The following is an 18,229-nucleotide window of genomic DNA, read 5'->3' on the forward strand; positions in this document are numbered from 1 at the left end:
TTTCATGATAGGGAATTTATTGCAAGAAAAACTAGAACATGAGGAAATCTTGGAAAGCCACCTCATCATTGATACAATCACTTGGGGCTTCTCATACGGTTGTGCTACAATCTTCTTGAGTTACAAAAATAAGGACCTGGCTTAGCTCGGGACAGTAGCTTGAAGTCAATCTGCTTGCCTTTTTCCACTCATACAATATTTAATATCTGATTGGGCCATGTGGCCAGCACCCATCACAGACTGTCCCTATTGGTCAGCATTTAAGCCAAACATTTCAGGGGTAACAGATCTTCTTAATGCAAAGGCCATTTATATTCCCTTCCTGTGCTGGCTGAGACCCTCATGCAAGGCTGCCAGCAGCAGGTTAGAAGGGTTCTTCTTCTCTAGCAAACCCTGAGACAGGTTGTATGACATCTCGTAAAAGGCAGGAGGAGTTGAGGCTACTCGTTTAGAAGAGAGCAAGGCAGTAACAATCATTACAACCTAAGGGCTTCTCCTGAAGTCCATGCACCCCAATTAGAGGATGATCAGATGAGCACACTGGGCAAATCAATGACTACTCCTTGTTGGTGGTTTCTTAAATGTGCATTACTATTCAAATATCTTCATCAAATTTATGCTCTGTTAAGTCCTTTGAAGGTAAACTAAAAAATCATTTCTCATTAAAATATCATCTTTATTTCAAACCTGCTCATGCTCATATCAGCTCCTCTAATGTCATTATGGAAAAAGGCAATTTCTTTCTTTTGATGGCTTATTTTTATATTTATGTTTCAGATCATTGTGGCATATAATCAAAGGAAAAGTTATCCTGGGGATTTAGACCTTCTGTAGATTAAGATGCTCAGATATGCAAAACCACTTCCCATCCTTGTGACTGTCAGTAGTTTTCTCCAGTGCAAGGAGTAACATTTATGAGTTTTCATAAGCATTTTTCATCAAGGAGTGTGGGGTGGACAGTGGAGCCAAAGCACCTTCTGTCATTCAAAAATCCTTAATCCCCAACCAGGTGCGGTGGCTCACGACTGTAATCCTAGCACTTTGGGAGGCCAAGGTGGGTGGATCACTTGAGGTCAGGAGTTCAAGACCAGCCTAGCCAACATGGTGAAACCCCAACTCTGCCAAAAATACAAAAACTAGCTGGGCGTGGTGATGGGCACCTGCAATCCCAGCTACTCAGGAGGCTGAGGCAGGAGAATCACTTGAATCCGGGAGGCGGAGGTTGTAGTGAGCTGAGATCACACCACTGCACTGCAGCCTGGGGTAAAGAGTGAGACTCCATCTCAAAAAAAAAAAAAAATTCTTAATCCTCCTCTGCTGCTACTTTCCCTCCTTGTATCTGCCCATTCCCAGGATCAGTGCCTCCAGCCAGTTGACAAAAGGACAGCCACCTTCCTCCCGCTATCATTTTTCTTCCCACCACTGTTCTTCCTCTGCACTTCTTGTGCGTTGAGCCTGAGTTGATTCTTTTTCTCAGAACAAAATCTTCTTTGAAAATGCAACATGAGGTAAGAAAAGGAGTTTATAGTCTGCTTTTTTCTGTTTGCATTTCCTGCCTCTGACATTTGCTTTCAGACTAATTAGGAGTTTTGGAGTTCCTTTTCCTTTTCCCCATTGCTCATTTTCAAACAAGACTGTGCAACCCTTTCCATCATGAGATGAAAATCTCACATGGCTCAGGTAGCTCAGGTATCACCCTGCCTAGAAACAGGGGATAAAGGACATGACCTTTCATGTCTTTCTGTCCCCAAGGACCTTGGCCTCTTGCCAGAATCCTTAATAGGGTCCAGGTATATTTGTAAAATGAATACATGGTCTCTACCATTTATATTTTCATTTGGGCATTACATATCGGGTGCCTCCTATTGTCAGGCAGTGTGTTCGGTCCTAGAGCTTCAACAGTGACCCTGATGGGCATGTCCCTAATTGGGGGTGTGAAAACAAACAGGCAGTTAGCATTGCTCTAACTGCAATAATGCTAAGAACATCTGTGATTTTTGCTCTATTTAAAGAGAACACATAGTTTCTAAAGAGCTGCATCACACCTATATAAATGATTTGTACTTTCTGAGCCTCCATTTCTCATTCATAGAATGGCCTAATGACTACATCATTGTGTTGTTCTGGGGATGAAATGAGGCAACCTAATGAAAAGCTTCCAGCACAGTGCCTGGCCCATGGGAGGTACTCAACCTCTGATCACCTGGCTGTCCTTCTGATGGAATGCTCCTCTGCCTGCTCTGCTTGGCATGGTTTCCTCCTGCTGATGAGGGTGGGCAGGCATTGACCAGGCAGGCTTGTTTCCCACATCCTTTTTTTCAAATGGTCTTCTGGAGATGCACTTATATCCTCTGCAAAACACCCTTCCACACTAAGGTTTATTAAACTACCCAACGTTGCCTTTCTCCCTCAGAGAAGATCATACCAACTCTCTGAACATCCCAAAATGGAAAGTTTGTATAGATTGACTCATCAGAGCACAATTGTGTGTTCAGTGCCAGAAATTATCAGCTTGTGTGGAAAAATATAATTAGCAAAAGTAAAAAAATACAACATAAAAAGCAGGACCTGTCTTCCTGATTCTTATCTCATTTGTTTTTTAAGAGTTTTCTTTTTTGGTGCCAGTTTTGTGTTTCTTGTAATCAGTAGGGTCCAAAGATTTTCCGCTTGGTTTAAGAGTCAACTGGGGATGAAGTTAAACTATAACATTGCACCTAAGCTAGTGCAATGACTAGACCTTTCTTTACAAAGGGAGAGTTTTGAACTCATCTGGGTTGCTGGAGAGAAGAATTAGTGATTCCTTTTCAGTGTCACCAGGCAGGCAGATAGCCCTGTTCATGGGATGGACCTGGTGTTACCGCCTATGTCAGCTCCTTTTATTGTAATGCTTTGCCTATCTACCCTCATTCGTAACAGCCAGTGAGCATCACCAAGTGTCAGAAACAGGGTGAAAAGTCATTATCTTTCGTCTTCTTCCTAGTTTAGACCATCTTTCCTACTCACAGACAGATCAACACATAAATATTAACAATCAGCTGCTACAAATAAAGAAAACCTACTACAAGGCTTTGAAAGCGAGGGACATATGCTCTTCCCACAGGTCACTATGCTTACTTCCTTCCCATCAGTAGTAAAGGGGCGTGTGTGTGTGTGTGTGTGTGTGTGTGTGTGTGTGTGTGGTCTGTGTGTCTCCAACTCTGGAGAGCAAATGAACAAGTTTGTCCAGGACAAGTAGACTCTGAATATCCTCTCATCCCACTGGCTCAGGAGTTTTCTACTTATATTTCTGTTGTTGGTAATGTTAGCAGGATATGAGCACATTTGTCCTGTCTTATAATCCCCATGTTTAAAAATGTTTAATGCCCTAAGTCTTTGAATGCTCTTGTCTCAGTTTTAGTTCTTAATCAAGCAGAAAGCTAGGACTGTGCTTAAAGGGAGGATGGAGGTAGGGTGGGGGACAGACACTCACTTGGAATGCAGGTCATTTAACTTGTTCCATGCTAGCACCCTCCCCCTCCTCACAGTGTGTAAAATGCTTGTTTTCTTTGAGAAGAGAGTAGCAAGTCCTATGGCTAGAGTCAGAAAACATGTCTTGGACAGCCTTCCTGGTTTTTTGTTGTTGTTGTTTTTTCCTCCCAGTTGAACTTGAATCTGAGCCTTGATGATTTAGAGTCCTAGGATTTCAGAGTTGGGTGGGAGATGGCTCATGGGAGAGATTGCACCTTGATCCCAAACCCCTTAGCTGCCAGGAAGAGTGTCAGAAAAATTATGAAATCATACTAATTCAGTATGGGTTGGTAGAGTCTCATTCTTCCTCAGGTAGTTACTGGAAAAACAGGAGTGCAGAGAACCAAGGCTTCCCATAGCTCAGACATGCCCTTGGGCCAGAGGGAATGGCCTCAAAAGTCCTTTGTCAAAGGATATTATGTTAGTTCAATAACAGTATAAATATCAGTAAGAAAGTGACAAGCATAAGGTTTAGCATGAAATTGGAGCCTCATTGTGTAACTTAGGAAAGTAAGGGCACACAGTGAAGTTTAAAAAAAATATTCAAAGGCCCAGTAGCGTGTGGGCAGGAAGACTGGCTGCTGCTGGGTGCCCACAGGATCTAGGCCCTTGCACATTGCCTATAAAGATGACTTGGAATTCATCCTCTTTTTCAAAGAGGCAGAGGCTTCAACATTTTGGAGGGGTCACAGTGGTGGTCCTGGCTCCCGCCGTGTGGGAGAGAATACATTTTACCTACCCTTCAAAGAATGAGTTAGAGCCTGGGGTGCCAATGCTGGCCAAATACAAGTTCCTGAGACAGAGAAATCAGGCGGATGCTGAGGATCTCACCTCGAACCATTTGCCCAACAGTGGAGGGTTTCCACAGCCCTTCCCCTTCTCCATGCCCTGGATGTGCCCGGAGGTGCTGTAGGCAGTATTGGTTGCTTGGGCTGATGACTTATATGTCTTAAAGTCTCCAAGTCATTTTTTATGGGGACACATAAAAATTCCTGCTCAACAGCTGCCCTATGTTCATTGATTTGTTTGTTTGTTTGTTTCCCTAAGAGATGCCAGTTTGGCAACACCCAAGGCTGCCTCTCCCCTGATTCAGATCTTGGAGACTTTCATCCAAAACCATACAAAGCCCCAGGGCAGTTTTTTTTGTGTTTCCCTGCATTTAGTGTAATTAGGTGGATAAACTTGCAAAGCCACCTGATTTGAATAAAGTCCATTATTCCTCCTGAAGGAGCTCAGGATGGGATCAATACCAATGGGATCCAACTCTCCAGCCTCCTCTCCCACTGGAATACCTCAAGGAAGAATGTAAATGAATAGAAGGAACAGAGCAAAGGGGATGAGGATAGAATTTAAGAAGTCGTTGTGCTTGCTACGTTGGTGGCCAGATAGGGCCACTTTGGAACATCATGTAAACCACTTAATAACCTCCCACCACAGTATCTAGAGCAGGGCTGGGCCATGCAGTTTCTTCTCACATATTTTTACTTTAAGCAGAATACTTAATATCTATTGGCACGGCTCTGATGTTATTCATCAGACCTAACTCTGAAATCCTAGGACTCTAAATCATCAAGGCTCAGGTTCAAGTTCAACGGGGAGGAGAAAAAACAACAACAAAAAACCAGGAAGGCTGTCCAAGACATGTTTTCTGACTCTAGCCATAGAACTTGCTACTCTCTTCTCAAAGAAAACAAGCATTTTACACACTGTGAGGAGGGGGAGGGTGCTAATCATTACGCAGAAGTGTTTCAATGCACACACCACTCACATTTAGATTTACTTTCTTTTGCTGCATCTTTATACCTACGATAAACCTGGTTTAATATTCCATTAAAATTTTTTTTTAAACCACTGTAACTTTGTTTAATTTGGTTGCTGAAAAAAGTTCTACTTTGGTATAATCTTGTGTTTGTAACCGAGATCGCTTTTAAGAAGGCACATTCTTATCAGAGATAATTTGGAAAAGCTGCAGGTTGTTCACTGTTTGGTACTATAGTAATGATTATCTTGAACTTACAGTTTAGGGTCCTACTTGTTTCACTTAGCATGCATCCTAAGTATTGTCTATATTGTTACATAATCATGTGGTTTTCATGGTTGCATCATAGTCCATTACAAGGAAATGTCACAGCTTGGTTATCTATTCTTCTGTACTGATCATTTTCAGTTTTTCAATATTTATCAATAACTTTGAGCAGAAAATCTTCTAGATTTCCCTTACATTTTATATTATTTTCTTAAGATGGACTTTCCAAGGTCTCTTATAAAGACAATGAATGTATTTTAGGCCAAGGCTTCTCCAAGTGCAGTGTGTGCACAGATCGCTGGTGGATGTTGTGAAATACAGATTCTAACTCAGCAGGTGTGGGTTGGACCTGAGGATCTGCATTTGTCACAAATGCCTGCATGATGCCCAGACCGTGGCTCAGGGCTTTGGGCAGTCTCTTAAAGTTGCTGGTGTATTGGCATTGAGAGTATTTATAATACTCGTTTTGCCAAGTCACTGTGTGGGCTGGTTACCTAGGAGCTCCATCCCCTCAGAAGTACTTTCTAATCAAGAAGAAAGTTTGGATTAGACTGGTGTCCAGAGGGATGGGGAGCTGTAACACCTGCCTTCAATAAAAGCCTCTAAGCTTAGTTGTGGCCACCATTAGAATCATCTGGGGAGTACACACACACACACACACACACACACACACACACACACACTCTCTCTCTCTCTCTCTCTCTCTCTCTCTCTCTCTCTCTCTCTCTCTCTCTCTCAGCTCCCTCCAGACCACTACAAACAGAATGGCTGGCAATGGAACCTGGGTATCAGTATTTTTTAAAGCTTCCCAGGTATTAGAGGTGACTCTGTATAGCCAGGGTTGAGGACCATTGTTGTAAGCGCTTCCCAACTTAAATCTCACTGAGCTCCCAACTATGTTTTATACCTGCTTGGATGTAAAGCTTGGGGCTTATACATGCTACACTCAGACCTCTACACTTTCGACAATGGATTTAGCACAGCCATGAGTTGTCTTTGCAATTCAGAAAAAACAATAACCATTATTTCGGACAGAAAACAAGGTATTTGTCATCGCTGACTTCTCCATCAAACTCACTCTTTTGTAGCATTTGCTGGTCCCATCTTACTGAATGCCACCATTGTACACTCAGTCTCCCAAGCCAAAAACCTGGGGCTGATCCTAGCCCCTTTACTTTCCCATGCCCTTCAGATCTAAGCAGTTCTCACAGTCCTTTGCTCTGTATGTACTTGTTTCTTATAGAATGTATCACATTATATTAAAATTATCTCTTAGCATGGTATGTCCTTCAACTAGACCATGAGCCTCTTGACTCCAGAGATAGTATCTGATGCATCTTTTTATTCCCCACATCTAGTGCAGTGCCTGTCTAGCACAGAGTGGAGACTCCTGAAGTAACTATTGAATGAATGGATGAAATAAAATAGGTTTTGATCACATATAACCCTGGAAGATTATTCTTATGGTTGAAAGTTTCATAGCAGCATGGTGCTAGCAGGAGCACAGATTGCCTAGATAGTGCCTGGTGCCAACATGGCCTTGGCCTTGGGGGTGTGCAAGACGGCAGACGGAATGCCCAGCACGCACTGAGTCCCTGCCACTCACCACCTGCTAGAGTAACACCTGCTGTTTCTGTTTGGCAGTTGCCTTTTCGGGCCTTGGCTTCACGACGTTCTACTTGGCGGGCAAGCTGCACTGCTTCACCGAGAGTGGGCGGGGAAAGAGCTGGCGGCTCTGTGCTGCCATCCTGCCCTTGTACTGCGCCATGATGATTGCCCTGTCCCGCATGTGCGACTACAAGCATCACTGGCAAGGTGAGTCCCTGCCCAGGGCCTGACTAGTCCTCACTGTGGTTGCCCCTCTCCTCCAGGGATGGGTGTAGAAATGCACCAATTGTGGGGAGCTAAGTGCCCATTGTCCAAAACCAGAGGAGGCTGAAATGACAGAGCGGATAAAATTTTGAAGCAAATATGCTGGTTCAAGTGAGGTCTGGCCTTCCTGGGGAAAGAATTGGAGCTCTTCTTCCTCCTTCATGCTCCAGGAGACTGCTTGAGTCCTGCCAGAATGTCAGGCCCTTTGGTTTAGTGTCACCCTTGGCCTGAGACCCAAATGTGATTTTCCTGCTGGATCACTTGCCTCAGTCCTCAGAGTTGGTGCCAAGTGGTTTTTGGCTTCCTTTGCTTATCAAATCCAGCCTACAAGGACGTATTTGTCACCATGGATGCTCTTCCGAAAGGTATATCTAGCCAGGGATTCATTCCAGTAATGCTCCAAGCAGCAGCTGCAAGCCTGGGGTGAGGTTTGCCTATATATATACATATATCAGTCCTGGGGTATTTGTTAAAAATCAAAATAACACAAAACAAGGGAGGGGCTTGTTCCTGAAATATAACTAAACCATGCCATGTCCTTCTGCAGACAAACTGCAGCTCACAGTCTGTCTGAAAGACAACCACCACCTGCCAGAGCACACAGAGAGCTGAGACGGAGGTGATGTCCATGGGAGGTGTGGCCTCCAGGAAGCATGGGGTCTAGGGAAGGGTTTCCCAAGGGCAATCCTTGGATCACCTTGATCAAGCTGCCCTGAGCTAGAAATTGGACTCTCTAGGGGTGCATCTGGAGCAGTGGCCTAGAATCTTCCTGGATAATAAGCAAGCCTGTCATTGCTGATGAAGTCTAAGAAACACTGGTAAAGAGCTCCACCATATGTGTCAATTTTAACCAAACAAAGGAAAGAAAGTGTGCCTGAATCCAGCTTCTTTGAATGAATGGGCTTCCATGATAGGTCTGTGACCCAAACCTCCTCTCCCTTTCTTGTTTTCCGACTGTTGCTGGGCATTGTTCACCTCCTTCCTCTCTCTGTCTTTGCAGCCAGCTGCCTTGCAGGACTGCCCTCTTCCTACCTTTTCCGGGGGTTTGTTGCAGTGGTAATGAGGCAATGGATGGGGACAGGGTTGAGGGGAACTCCTAGCTGAGAGCCCCTCCTTCCTCATCTTCTCTGGAGACCTTGTGCTCCTTCTAGCACTACACAGCTTCTCCTGTTCCTTCCTGGTCTCATCCCTACCCCGTATCCTCCTGGAGCTCATGCTCTGGGTGTCCTGTGACCCCAGCAGGAGCTTTGGGCTGGAGGATGAAGGGTATAGGGAAAGAGATGCTGACATGGTTTGGACAGGTGGATGCAGCAAGCATCAAGTGCTACTAAGGTCTGAGGCCCTCCTGATGGGGGAGGTCAGAAGAGGGTCACAGGTCTGAACCTGCCCTTGTTCTGTTTTTATCAATGACTTGGATGAAATTCTGGATGATAAGAAGCCGCATCATGAGATGGAAGGATGGACAGAGTCACTGGGCCAACAAAAACAGAGGCACAGCCCCCCATTGGAACTGGGAATATGTTCCCGCAGAATTGTTTCCCACCTATGTGAGTTAGGGCATTTCCCCATGAAGAATATTACGGGCCAAATGGCCTTTTATGGACTGCTTCTCATTGATCCCTTGTGAGCCAGTTTCCTCTTTGAGCACAGGAACTATCCCTAATATTTCACAGAGCTTTTCATAGATTGAATGAAATAATGGATCCAAATGTTCTTTGTAAATGGAAATTTACTACACACATGCAAAGTGGTATCATTGTTGCTTAGTACATTTTTTCTAAGGAAGGATGCATTGTGTTTCCCAAACAACTGACTTGGAGACAGACTTTTTTTTTGGAACATGATTTATTTGTAAGCTATGAATGCCAGGTTTTCACTTTTATTCAACCACTTTGGATTCGGGGAATGATTGGGGGTTTCAGAATTGAATCAATTTTTCCTTTATCTTGGAGTCAATAAGAGCCTTTGCATAGTACTAACAACCTAGGATGTGAGGCTGGCCTGTCTTCAGCACTCTCTGGCCCTACCCTGTTTTGTTCCTCATTTCCTAGCTGTGGTAGTGTAACATGGCCAGAGTAAAGGAATGTGGAATCACAGCTCTTGTCTTTAGGGAATGGTGAATTTATGCTGCAGCTGGTGTACCCAAGGCCTGTTGGCAACTGGGGCTTTGAAACCGTACTATCCAACAGGCACAGAAAGGAACTATGAGCAGTCAAGGGAGAATATTCATCCTGTGTGGGCTGTTGGGAAAGCAAAGCAAGAGAATTTATGTTCAGTGATGGTTAGAACCATATTTGGGAATCAAACAAAAACTGCGTCATGGTAGACTTCTGCAGCCCAAACTGAATGTGCATCTCTTGGTACAGGTTATTGATATAGCCTAAGGACCAGTTCAGCTCTGCCATTATGTGTTCAACTTATACCCTTGGAGTCAGCCAGGAGAGGAACACAACTTCCCTTGGATGCTCTAAAGGGCTCTGAGTCAGGCTCATTTTACCTGAGTTCCCCTTCATGAGGCTATCTGCCGCTGTCCACACCAGTTGTTTTCAATCTCTCAGGGGACATTTAGCAATGTCTCTAGACATCTTCTTGGTTGTCACAACTTTGAGGGGTAGGTGCTACTACTGCCATCCAATGGGTGGAGGGTTAGAGACTAGGGATGCTACTAAATGTCCTACAATCACAAGACCCCTCGCCCACTAACAAGGAGTTATGCAGCCCCAAATGTCAATACTGCCCAGGTTGAGAACCCCTGTTCTACATCATACCCCAGCTCCATATTTCTTTTCCATGTTACACGTTAAGAAGCAGCAATGTTCTGGGAGTGGGAAGTTTTGTTCATTCAATACTCAATTATTAAGGGAGAAATCAAGGAGACCTCAAAGGTTTCCCACTGGGAGGAGGGATGCAGAGTGAGGTCTTCAACTGCAGTGTAGGTGGATGTTTCAGGCAGGATGCCTGATTAAGATAAATAACTTGTTTTCCTTTGGTGAACTGAGCTGCCCAGTGACTGTGGGCGGGGGCCATCCATCATGGTGAGAATTCACATGGAGCCCCATTAGCATCAGCAAAACTCAAGTCCCCCTCATTATAGACTTTAGTTAACAGCATTCATGTTGTGAGATTTTATGACTCCATTTCAATTTTGATTTAAGCAACTGTGCCTAATGTGGAAATACATCCAATTACTCGATTACACATTCATATCCAATAAATAGTCTATAATCTCTAATGACTCTCTCTCTCCATTATCATGGTTATTTTCTGCTATTGACACTCCCTGGTCTTTTCTGCCTCCCCAGCCCACTCCAAATATACAAATCTATTGTTTTATTAAGTGACGAAAATACAGAGGCACAGGCCATGGCATAGGGAAGGAGACATGAAACATTTAGCAGAACTTCCCCAGACACAAAACCGGTGGGATCAATACTAAATCTCTGTGTGGCTGATGTGGCCTGTGTCCTTGTGACATTCTGGCTTGCAGGTCAACTGGAAGCTGGAGAGTTTCACAGATGATGCTAACTACAAAGCCCAGTGCCCTCTCAAACAGGCTTATCTTTGTGATTAACAATGTGTTTAGCAGCGCTCAAACTTGTGGAATCCCCATACTAGAGAAAATAAATGCAGAGAAAGAGCAGAGCATGTCATTAAACTGACTCCTGCCTCTATTCACGCTCTTATGTGATTACGATTTCTTGTCAATGGAGGGTTACAACTACTAGTGGCAGGAATGTGGTGTTTGCTCCATCACTGGACTTAATAATGAGCTCCCCTGACCCCTCAAGTCCCTGCACCTGAAACCAGCCTCTCCTCTTGTGACTTTAGGTTTGGAGGTAACATTTTAAACACTTGTTCCTCTAATCATAGGTCATTTTAAGCAGCCCTGGGTGCCTGCGTGGTGTTTCATTATAAGAAAGAACATCCCCCTCTGGATGTAATCTAGGGAAACAGGTCTCAAAGAATGAAACATTCATTTGTTCCCACCCAGACTAAGGTTGGAAAGCGTCTCGGTCATTCACAGACACAGTTGTCTAACCGGGCTGAAGTTTTCAAGATGGCCATTATTGCGTTCGCCTGCTTTCCCAGACTGGGCTGTGAAGGGTCTGTGATTTGAAATGAACTAAATATAGTTACCAAGCTTCAGGAGATTACTGACCCTGCAAATGCAGGTGTTTTGGTAGTTGGATATTGTGCTGGACTATTTCATGTGCCACAAAATACTTCTGGCCTCAAGAAGCCCAGGCAGAAGCTATTCCCTTTGGAGAAACCCTTTTTTCAAAGCCTGATGGCATTCTACAACTCACAGGACTCTCTTGAGTTCTCCTTCCTTTTGTTACTGATAAACCCAGTAGTCCCAAAGATGGGATCCTTCCCTGTTCCATGTGACAGAGCCATTACATGAAATCAAAAGTGAGCATCAAGCAGAGTAAGCTTTATTCCATGGCCAAAGAATGGAGAAGTTGGGGCCGGGCGCGGTGGCTCATGCCTGTAATCCCAGCACTTTGGGAGGCCGAGGCGGGCAGATCACGAGGTCAGGAGATAGAGACCATCCTGGCTAACATGGTGAAACCCCGTCTCTACTAAAAAAAAAAAAAAAAATACAAAAAAATTAGCCAGACTTGGTGATGGGCACCTGTAGTCCCAGCTACTCGGGAGGCTGAGGCAGGAGAATGGCGTGAACCTGGGAGGCAGAGCTTGCAGCGAGCCGAGATCATGCCACTGCACTCCAGCCTGCGCGACAGAGCGAGACTCTCAAAAAAAAAAAAAAAAAAAAAAAAGGAAAGAAAGAATGGAGAAGTGGGAACACAGCTCTCAGATGAACTTCTCAGCTAGTGAGCAGTGAAGGGATTAAAATATAGGGTTTCTCTAATGAAGAGGTCAGGTAGTAAAATCTAGGGGAGGAATAATCGGATCTTTTTCTGGAAATGGATGGTGAACTCCTGGGAACCAGAGTGCTGCCTTCCTTTTATGGCTTCTTCCAATTGTTGTCATGGCAATTGTCAACTGTCATGGTGCTAGTGAGAGTGTCATTTAGCATGGAAATTAGATGATAATGAAGCCTGAGGTCTTCTTGAAGTTGTTCTGTCAGCTGTCTTGGTTTTAACCAGTTTCAGGTAGTCCAGTTACAAAGGGAACTTTTTACCACAGGGGTCTCATTTCTTAAAGATAAACAGGGAGGGGTGTAAATCCAGCTATGTCATGTAAGCCTTACGCTGAGTAACACCTTCCCCTTCCCTCCCCTCTGTCTCTGTCTCCATCTCTCTGTCTGCCTCTGTCTCTTACACACACACACACACACACACACACACACACACACACGGCTGAGGGACATACACTGTTATAAGCAGGCCTCCCTTGTGCTGTCAGAAGCAATCTGTAGATTTTCTAAATGAAGTGACTTGAAAAAGATCCCTTGGAACAATATGATTGTTTCTGCCAAAAACCTGCCAGCCCTGGGTAGAACAAAAACACTGAAATTCTCCCTCTAATATCCTCAGCCCAAGTGAATTGATGTCACCTCATTTTCCCTCCACAGTTGGCTGCTGTGTATGGCAGGGCCCACAGTCACATTTACCATCGGCTGCCAACCCCCGCCTCTGTCTGGGAACCTCTGAACCTTGACTGCCCATCTAAGTCCACCCGCCTCTGTGTTGGTGCCTAGGAGAGCGTAAGAAGCCTCAGCCCCTGGCTCACCCCTCCCTCCGGTCAAAGTCCACTGCATATCCTGCTTTCAGCCTCAAGAGAGGCATTCTCAGTCAGGACTTCTGCCCTCTTCCTGCCTCCAGGATAGCCCTGGTGTTTCCCCGTGATGTAATTCCCAGGGAAGATGGACGTTGATTGCTCCCAAGTCTCACTGGCATCCTTCCTTTGTTTTACTCAAGGGAACCTGTCTCTTCTCAGCTTTCTGTGGTGTTCTGTGGTTCCTCCTGCTCAGCATATTTATAGACTCCAACTTTTCCTTCCCACTCTGGTCTAGTGATCCTCAGTTGTTGCCTGAATCATTGCAGAAGCCTCTCAGCCTGGCTCCCTCCTTCCTTCTTTGGCCCTCAACTGCATTTGGAATGTGCCTTTAGAGCCTGCGTTAGCACATGTCACTTTTGCAAAAATCCTCCAGTGATTCTCATTTCACTCAGCATCACAGCCTGTGTCCTGCCATGGTCCATAAGATCTGCTCCCTCCGTACTTCTTTGATGCTATGTTCAAGCTACTTGTCCTCCTCGTTCACATGATTGCATCGCTTGAGCTTCTTGCTACTCCTTGAACAGGCCCGTCCCATCCCACCTCAGAGCCTTTCCACAGGCTCCACCTTGTGCCTGGAATGCTCTTCTTCAGATGTGGGCGTGGCTTGTTCTCCTCTCCCTCCTAAACTGGGCTCAAGTGTCACCTTCTCCGTCTCGTGATGCCCACTCCACTTGAATTGCAGCCCCTTCCCCACATGCCATGTCCCTCTCCCCTTGCGCATTTACCACCTTCTGACAAATGAAGTCATTTATTATGTATTGATTATTATCTGTCTCTAACCACCAGAACAGGGGTTGGCAAACTTTGTAAAGGGTCAGATATCAATATCTTAGGCTGTATGTGGCCATGAGATCTTTGTTGCACCTATTCAGTTTGGCCGTAGTGCACAGAAGTGGCTATAGACAATATGTAAAGGAACGTGTTCACTTAGTTTGCTGGCGTCTGCACTAGAATATAATATCCACGTGAGCAGGGATTTAGGTCTCTGTTGTTGGCATGGCACATAGTAGGTACTTGTATCAGGGTCCTACGGCTGCCATAGCAAAGTACCAAAAACTGGGTGGCTTAGAACAACAGAAAGATATTGTCTCACCGTTCTGGAGGCTGGAAGTCTGAAATCAAAGTGTTGGCAAAGCCACCCTCTCTCTGAAATCAGTAAGGGGAGGATCCTTCTCTGCCTCTTCCAGCTTCTAGTAGCCCCAGATGTGCCTTTGCTGATGGCAGCATAATTCCAGTCTCTGCCTCTCTCTTCCCATGGTGTTTTCTCTGTGTGTCCTCACATCAGCTTCCCTCTTTGGGTGTCTGTCTCTGTGTCCAAATTTCCCCTCTTTATAAGGACACCAGTCATATTGCATTAGGGCCCACCCTGATTATCATATTTTAACTTGATTACTCCTGTAAAACCCTATTTCTAAATAAGGTCACATTCTGAGGTCCTAGGGACTAGGACTTCAGCATATCTTTCAAAAGGACACAATTAAATTTATAACAGTCTTCAATACATATGTGCTGAATAAATAAATGAGTTTGACTTAATCATGTTCCTTTCTTACTAATATCATTTTTTCTTTGGGCTGGTTTTACTAGTAACTTATTCTCTACAAGTTCTTTCCTTTTAAAAATAAACAAAAGGTTATACTGTAAATATTCCCTCCCTCCCTCCCTCCCTTCCTCCCTCCCTCCCTCCCTCCCTCCCTCCCTTCCTTCCTTCCTTCCTTCTCTCCTTTCTTCTTGTCATTGTGTCTGTGTACCCGGCGTGTTCTCCACTGGGCTCAGTACTGAGTAAGATGGACATAGCTGCTGTCCTCTCAGCTTATACTGTACCAGGGCTATTTTGCATACTTCCTGCTAGGTAAGCTCTTTTGTAGAAACTCAAAGTCACAGAAACATGAAGCTTCACAAGTAGCAGAATCACTGGAAAGAATAAAAAGAACAACAAAAAAATCACATGCACTTGTTGAGTTTGCCAGAGCTGACTTTTGCCCTAGTACCTTGGGTCATGGAGCCCAAGGCATACAAGGTCCCAAGTCAAGCTAGCTTAGTGATGTTGGAGGCTGCCTTGGTGACAGAAGGGATGATCTTCTGGAGGACCTGACAGCACATCTTCAGAAGCCTTTCTGCTTGTTTGTGCCACAACAGATGAGGGCAGCCTGGCACCTCAGTATGGCAGAACTCATAAGGTCCTTCCTGTCCTTTGACCTCATGGCAAGAGGGCAGGGTTTTGCCAATGTTATAGGTAAGGATTCAGATCCAGGCTGCCTGATTGAAAGTCACTCTTTCCACTACCATTGGAGTTTATCTGGCTCATCTGGTGTCAATTCTCTCCTCTCTTTTTAAAGAACAGCTTTCTTTATAATTCTCAATTATAAAATTCTCCCTTTTAAAGTACAGAAACATTTTTATATATCCAGAGTTGTGCAACCATTACCACTATCTAATTCTAGAACATTTTCATCACCCCAAAGAAACCCTTATCTCTCAGCAATCGCTTCTCATTTCTCTGTGCCTCAGGCTCTGGCAACCACTGATCTACTTTTTATCTCTATGGGTTTGCCTATTCTGCACATTGCATATAAATAGAACCATACAATGTGTGGCCATTTGTGGCTGGTGATGTTGATTCTTTAGTGCCTCTTGTAGATGTTGTTCAGCTCATGTCAGTTCCCCATTTACTGAATAAAAGTCGGCTGAGCTCTGGGAAATAAATAGGAATGAAACATCCCAGAGTCCTAGGTAATGACATGTAGTTGGGGAGATAGATTCAGAAACAGGAAACACCACTGGTGGTAGGTGTGAGGCCACAGAGTGCATAGATGGCAGGCCAGAGAGAGAGCAGGTCCCCTGGTCCATGCTGAGGGCTCCACAGAGCCACAAAGGGACATGGAAAACATTCTGCTCCAGCCCATACCAGATGACTGGTCAATTTGTGTCCTGTAGTCTTACAAAGACACTACCCCTTTCTTAAAAGATGGGTCTATCTTCAGTTTCTCAGATTTACCAAGCCTCCTTTGTCATCAGCACCTTCTCACATACCCTTCTCTCTGCCTGGAAAACCACCAGTGCCCTCTTTTCCTCTACTTCTCAACCTCTCCCGGTTAACTCTTGCTCATCCTTCAGGTCTTAGCCTGAGGGTCATGTCCTCAGCAAAACCTCTGCTCCAGAATAGCCCAGATCTCTGTGCTGGGCGAGCTCACAGACCCTCACACGTTTCCTTCATGGTGCTTACCATAGCTGCAAATTGCTGATACGGCTGTCATTGTTTAGTGTCTGTCTTGCCCCTTTGCTGGAAACTCTGGGACAGCAGGGACATGTCCCATTCGTTCAGCCTGTGTCCTAGGCTTGGCCATCATGCCCGACCCCTGATACGTATGCAGTGCATGTGTATGAATGAATGGCATCAGTGCTACGTAAGGAGACAGAAGTATTTTGTATTCCAAAGACACTGAGATCCATTTATTTCCCTTTTGAGACTTCTAGTTGATTTGGGGCAAAGTTAATCCCAAGTGTTTTTCCCCCAATAAGGGCTTTCTTGTCCCCTGCTTGCCTGTCTATCAAGAGGATACAAATGTGATTTTATCAAAATAGCAATAGCCCACTTGAGGCAATTGATGACAAGCTCCTTCATAAAGTAAGTTATTGTTTGGATCTTGTTCGCCACCTTTGTAATAAACACAGCCCCAAAATGACTTTGCTGAGAAGCAGCTTGGATAGACCTTTCATTGCCCTTGTTACTTCTCATAGACTCCCATAGCACCTGTGATATCACTTTTCACTCATTCCATTAAATGGGAAACAGAATTGGCAGGAATTGTCATTTCCATGCATGCTGCTATGTCAGTAAATCTGGGAAACATTCTTGGAATGGTTTGATGTCTTTTGGTCAATGATCCACCTAATGAAATGCTGCTTCAGAAAATAGAATGTTGAATGGTGTTATTTGTAGGTTTTGCTCTTTGGTCTGTTTAGTCAGTGGCTCAACTGCAGATGTTGTGGATCGTTTTAGATGCTAATAGAAATACCTCATGGGACTGTTTCCTGGGGTTAGAGGAAAAACAAAACAATAGTGCAACTCTAAGACCTTGAACTAGTAAAAGGCCTGACACATTTTATAGGCTGGTGGCCATAAGCTAGTGAAGAGATTCTTCATTTAAGCAACTTCATTTAATCACGTTAATTACACCCTGTGGCCCTGCTCCAGAATTCACGGTACATATTGCTTTACAATTTCTTGGGTGACAAACGTGTTTTTAAGTTCCTTAGAAGTTTATTTACGATGCTATGAAAATGTAGCCATGCCAGAGAGGTGAGATCTGTAAGCTTCTGAGTTGCTGTGTGAGGAGAAGGATGGGGCAGAATGAGAAAGCCTCCGGCAGCTCTGAAGTGGAATGTGAGAGGAATGGCAAAAGGATAACAAGGATGGATACTATTTTTATGTCCTATTTTGGCATGCTCCATGAAATAATCATTAGAAGTAATATATTATTAAATTATCATCACAACTTAATGAGGCGGATACTGAGATCCACATTTGAGAGAGAAGGAAACTCAGAGAGGCAAAGCAACTTGCCCTGGTAGGGCCTGCAATGTCTTAGCCTTAGGATTTCTCAGCGTGGAAGATTCTTGGATCGGGGGTGAGGATAAGTGGTGGTTACCTTACTGCAGCCCCAGGAGCCTCCAAATGGCCAACAGTTCTTCTCTTGGGAATGGATCTGCTGCCTCCTTTTCTTCTTCATTCTTGGGAATGCCTCTTGCTTTCCCTGCTGTCCTCCAATCCCCCCGCTACCCTGATGGCTGCTCACCAAGTCTGAGCAGACACGAACCTGTATTCCTTGCCTTTCTCCCAGACAGCTACTGCTCAGTCACACTGTATTCATCAGTTGTTGAAGTTTGAACTCGTATGGGGAGAAAGCAGTGACAATTATTTGGTCTCTCCCATTGACTAGTTAGAATGACTTTTGTTTCTAACTGATATTTTATCTGAACCAAAGAGAAGATATGACCTATTTTTTTCTCTTTTCTTTTTCTTTTTTTCTTTTTTTTTTTTTTAAAGAGATGGAGACTTGCTCTGTTGCCTGGGCT

The 18,229-nt window shown here is 44.5% G+C and overlaps 1 protein-coding gene across 15 annotated transcripts in view, besides 1 other annotated feature; it reads left to right on the forward strand.

Annotated features, from left to right (window-relative positions):
• PLPP4 (phospholipid phosphatase 4) overlaps nucleotides 1-18,229 on the forward strand; it is a 135,112-nt gene that overhangs the window by 111,000 nt on the left and 5,883 nt on the right. For 12 of the 15 annotated variants that reach the window (NR_134516.1, XM_011539444.4, NM_001030059.3 and 9 more), the window contains one exon: nucleotides 7,178-7,348. The exons of 2 other annotated variants lie outside the window; for them this stretch is intronic. Coding sequence is in view for 12 of the 13 variants with exons in the window: in XM_011539444.4 (XP_011537746.1) it covers nucleotides 7,178-7,348 (171 nt within the window). In the remaining variant the exon portion in view is untranslated. Of the gene's footprint in view, nucleotides 1-7,177; nucleotides 7,349-12,944; nucleotides 13,032-18,229 lie in introns of those variants that run through there. One more of the 15 variants, XM_017015823.2, reaches the window with a different exon arrangement.
• Nucleotides 7,174-7,673: an enhancer, noted in NCBI's record as "H3K4me1 hESC enhancer chr10:122334639-122335138 (GRCh37/hg19 assembly coordinates)". NCBI's record gives its function as "activates a minimal SCP1, AML or CMV promoter by ChIP-STARR-seq in naive H9 embryonic stem cells {active_cell/tissue: H9 hESC(naive)}" and the evidence as "EXISTENCE:reporter gene assay evidence [ECO:0000049][PMID:30033119]".

The sequence above is a fragment of the Homo sapiens genome, chromosome 10 (assembly GCF_000001405.40).
Source record: "Homo sapiens chromosome 10, GRCh38.p14 Primary Assembly".
NCBI lineage: Eukaryota > Metazoa > Chordata > Mammalia > Primates > Hominidae > Homo > Homo sapiens.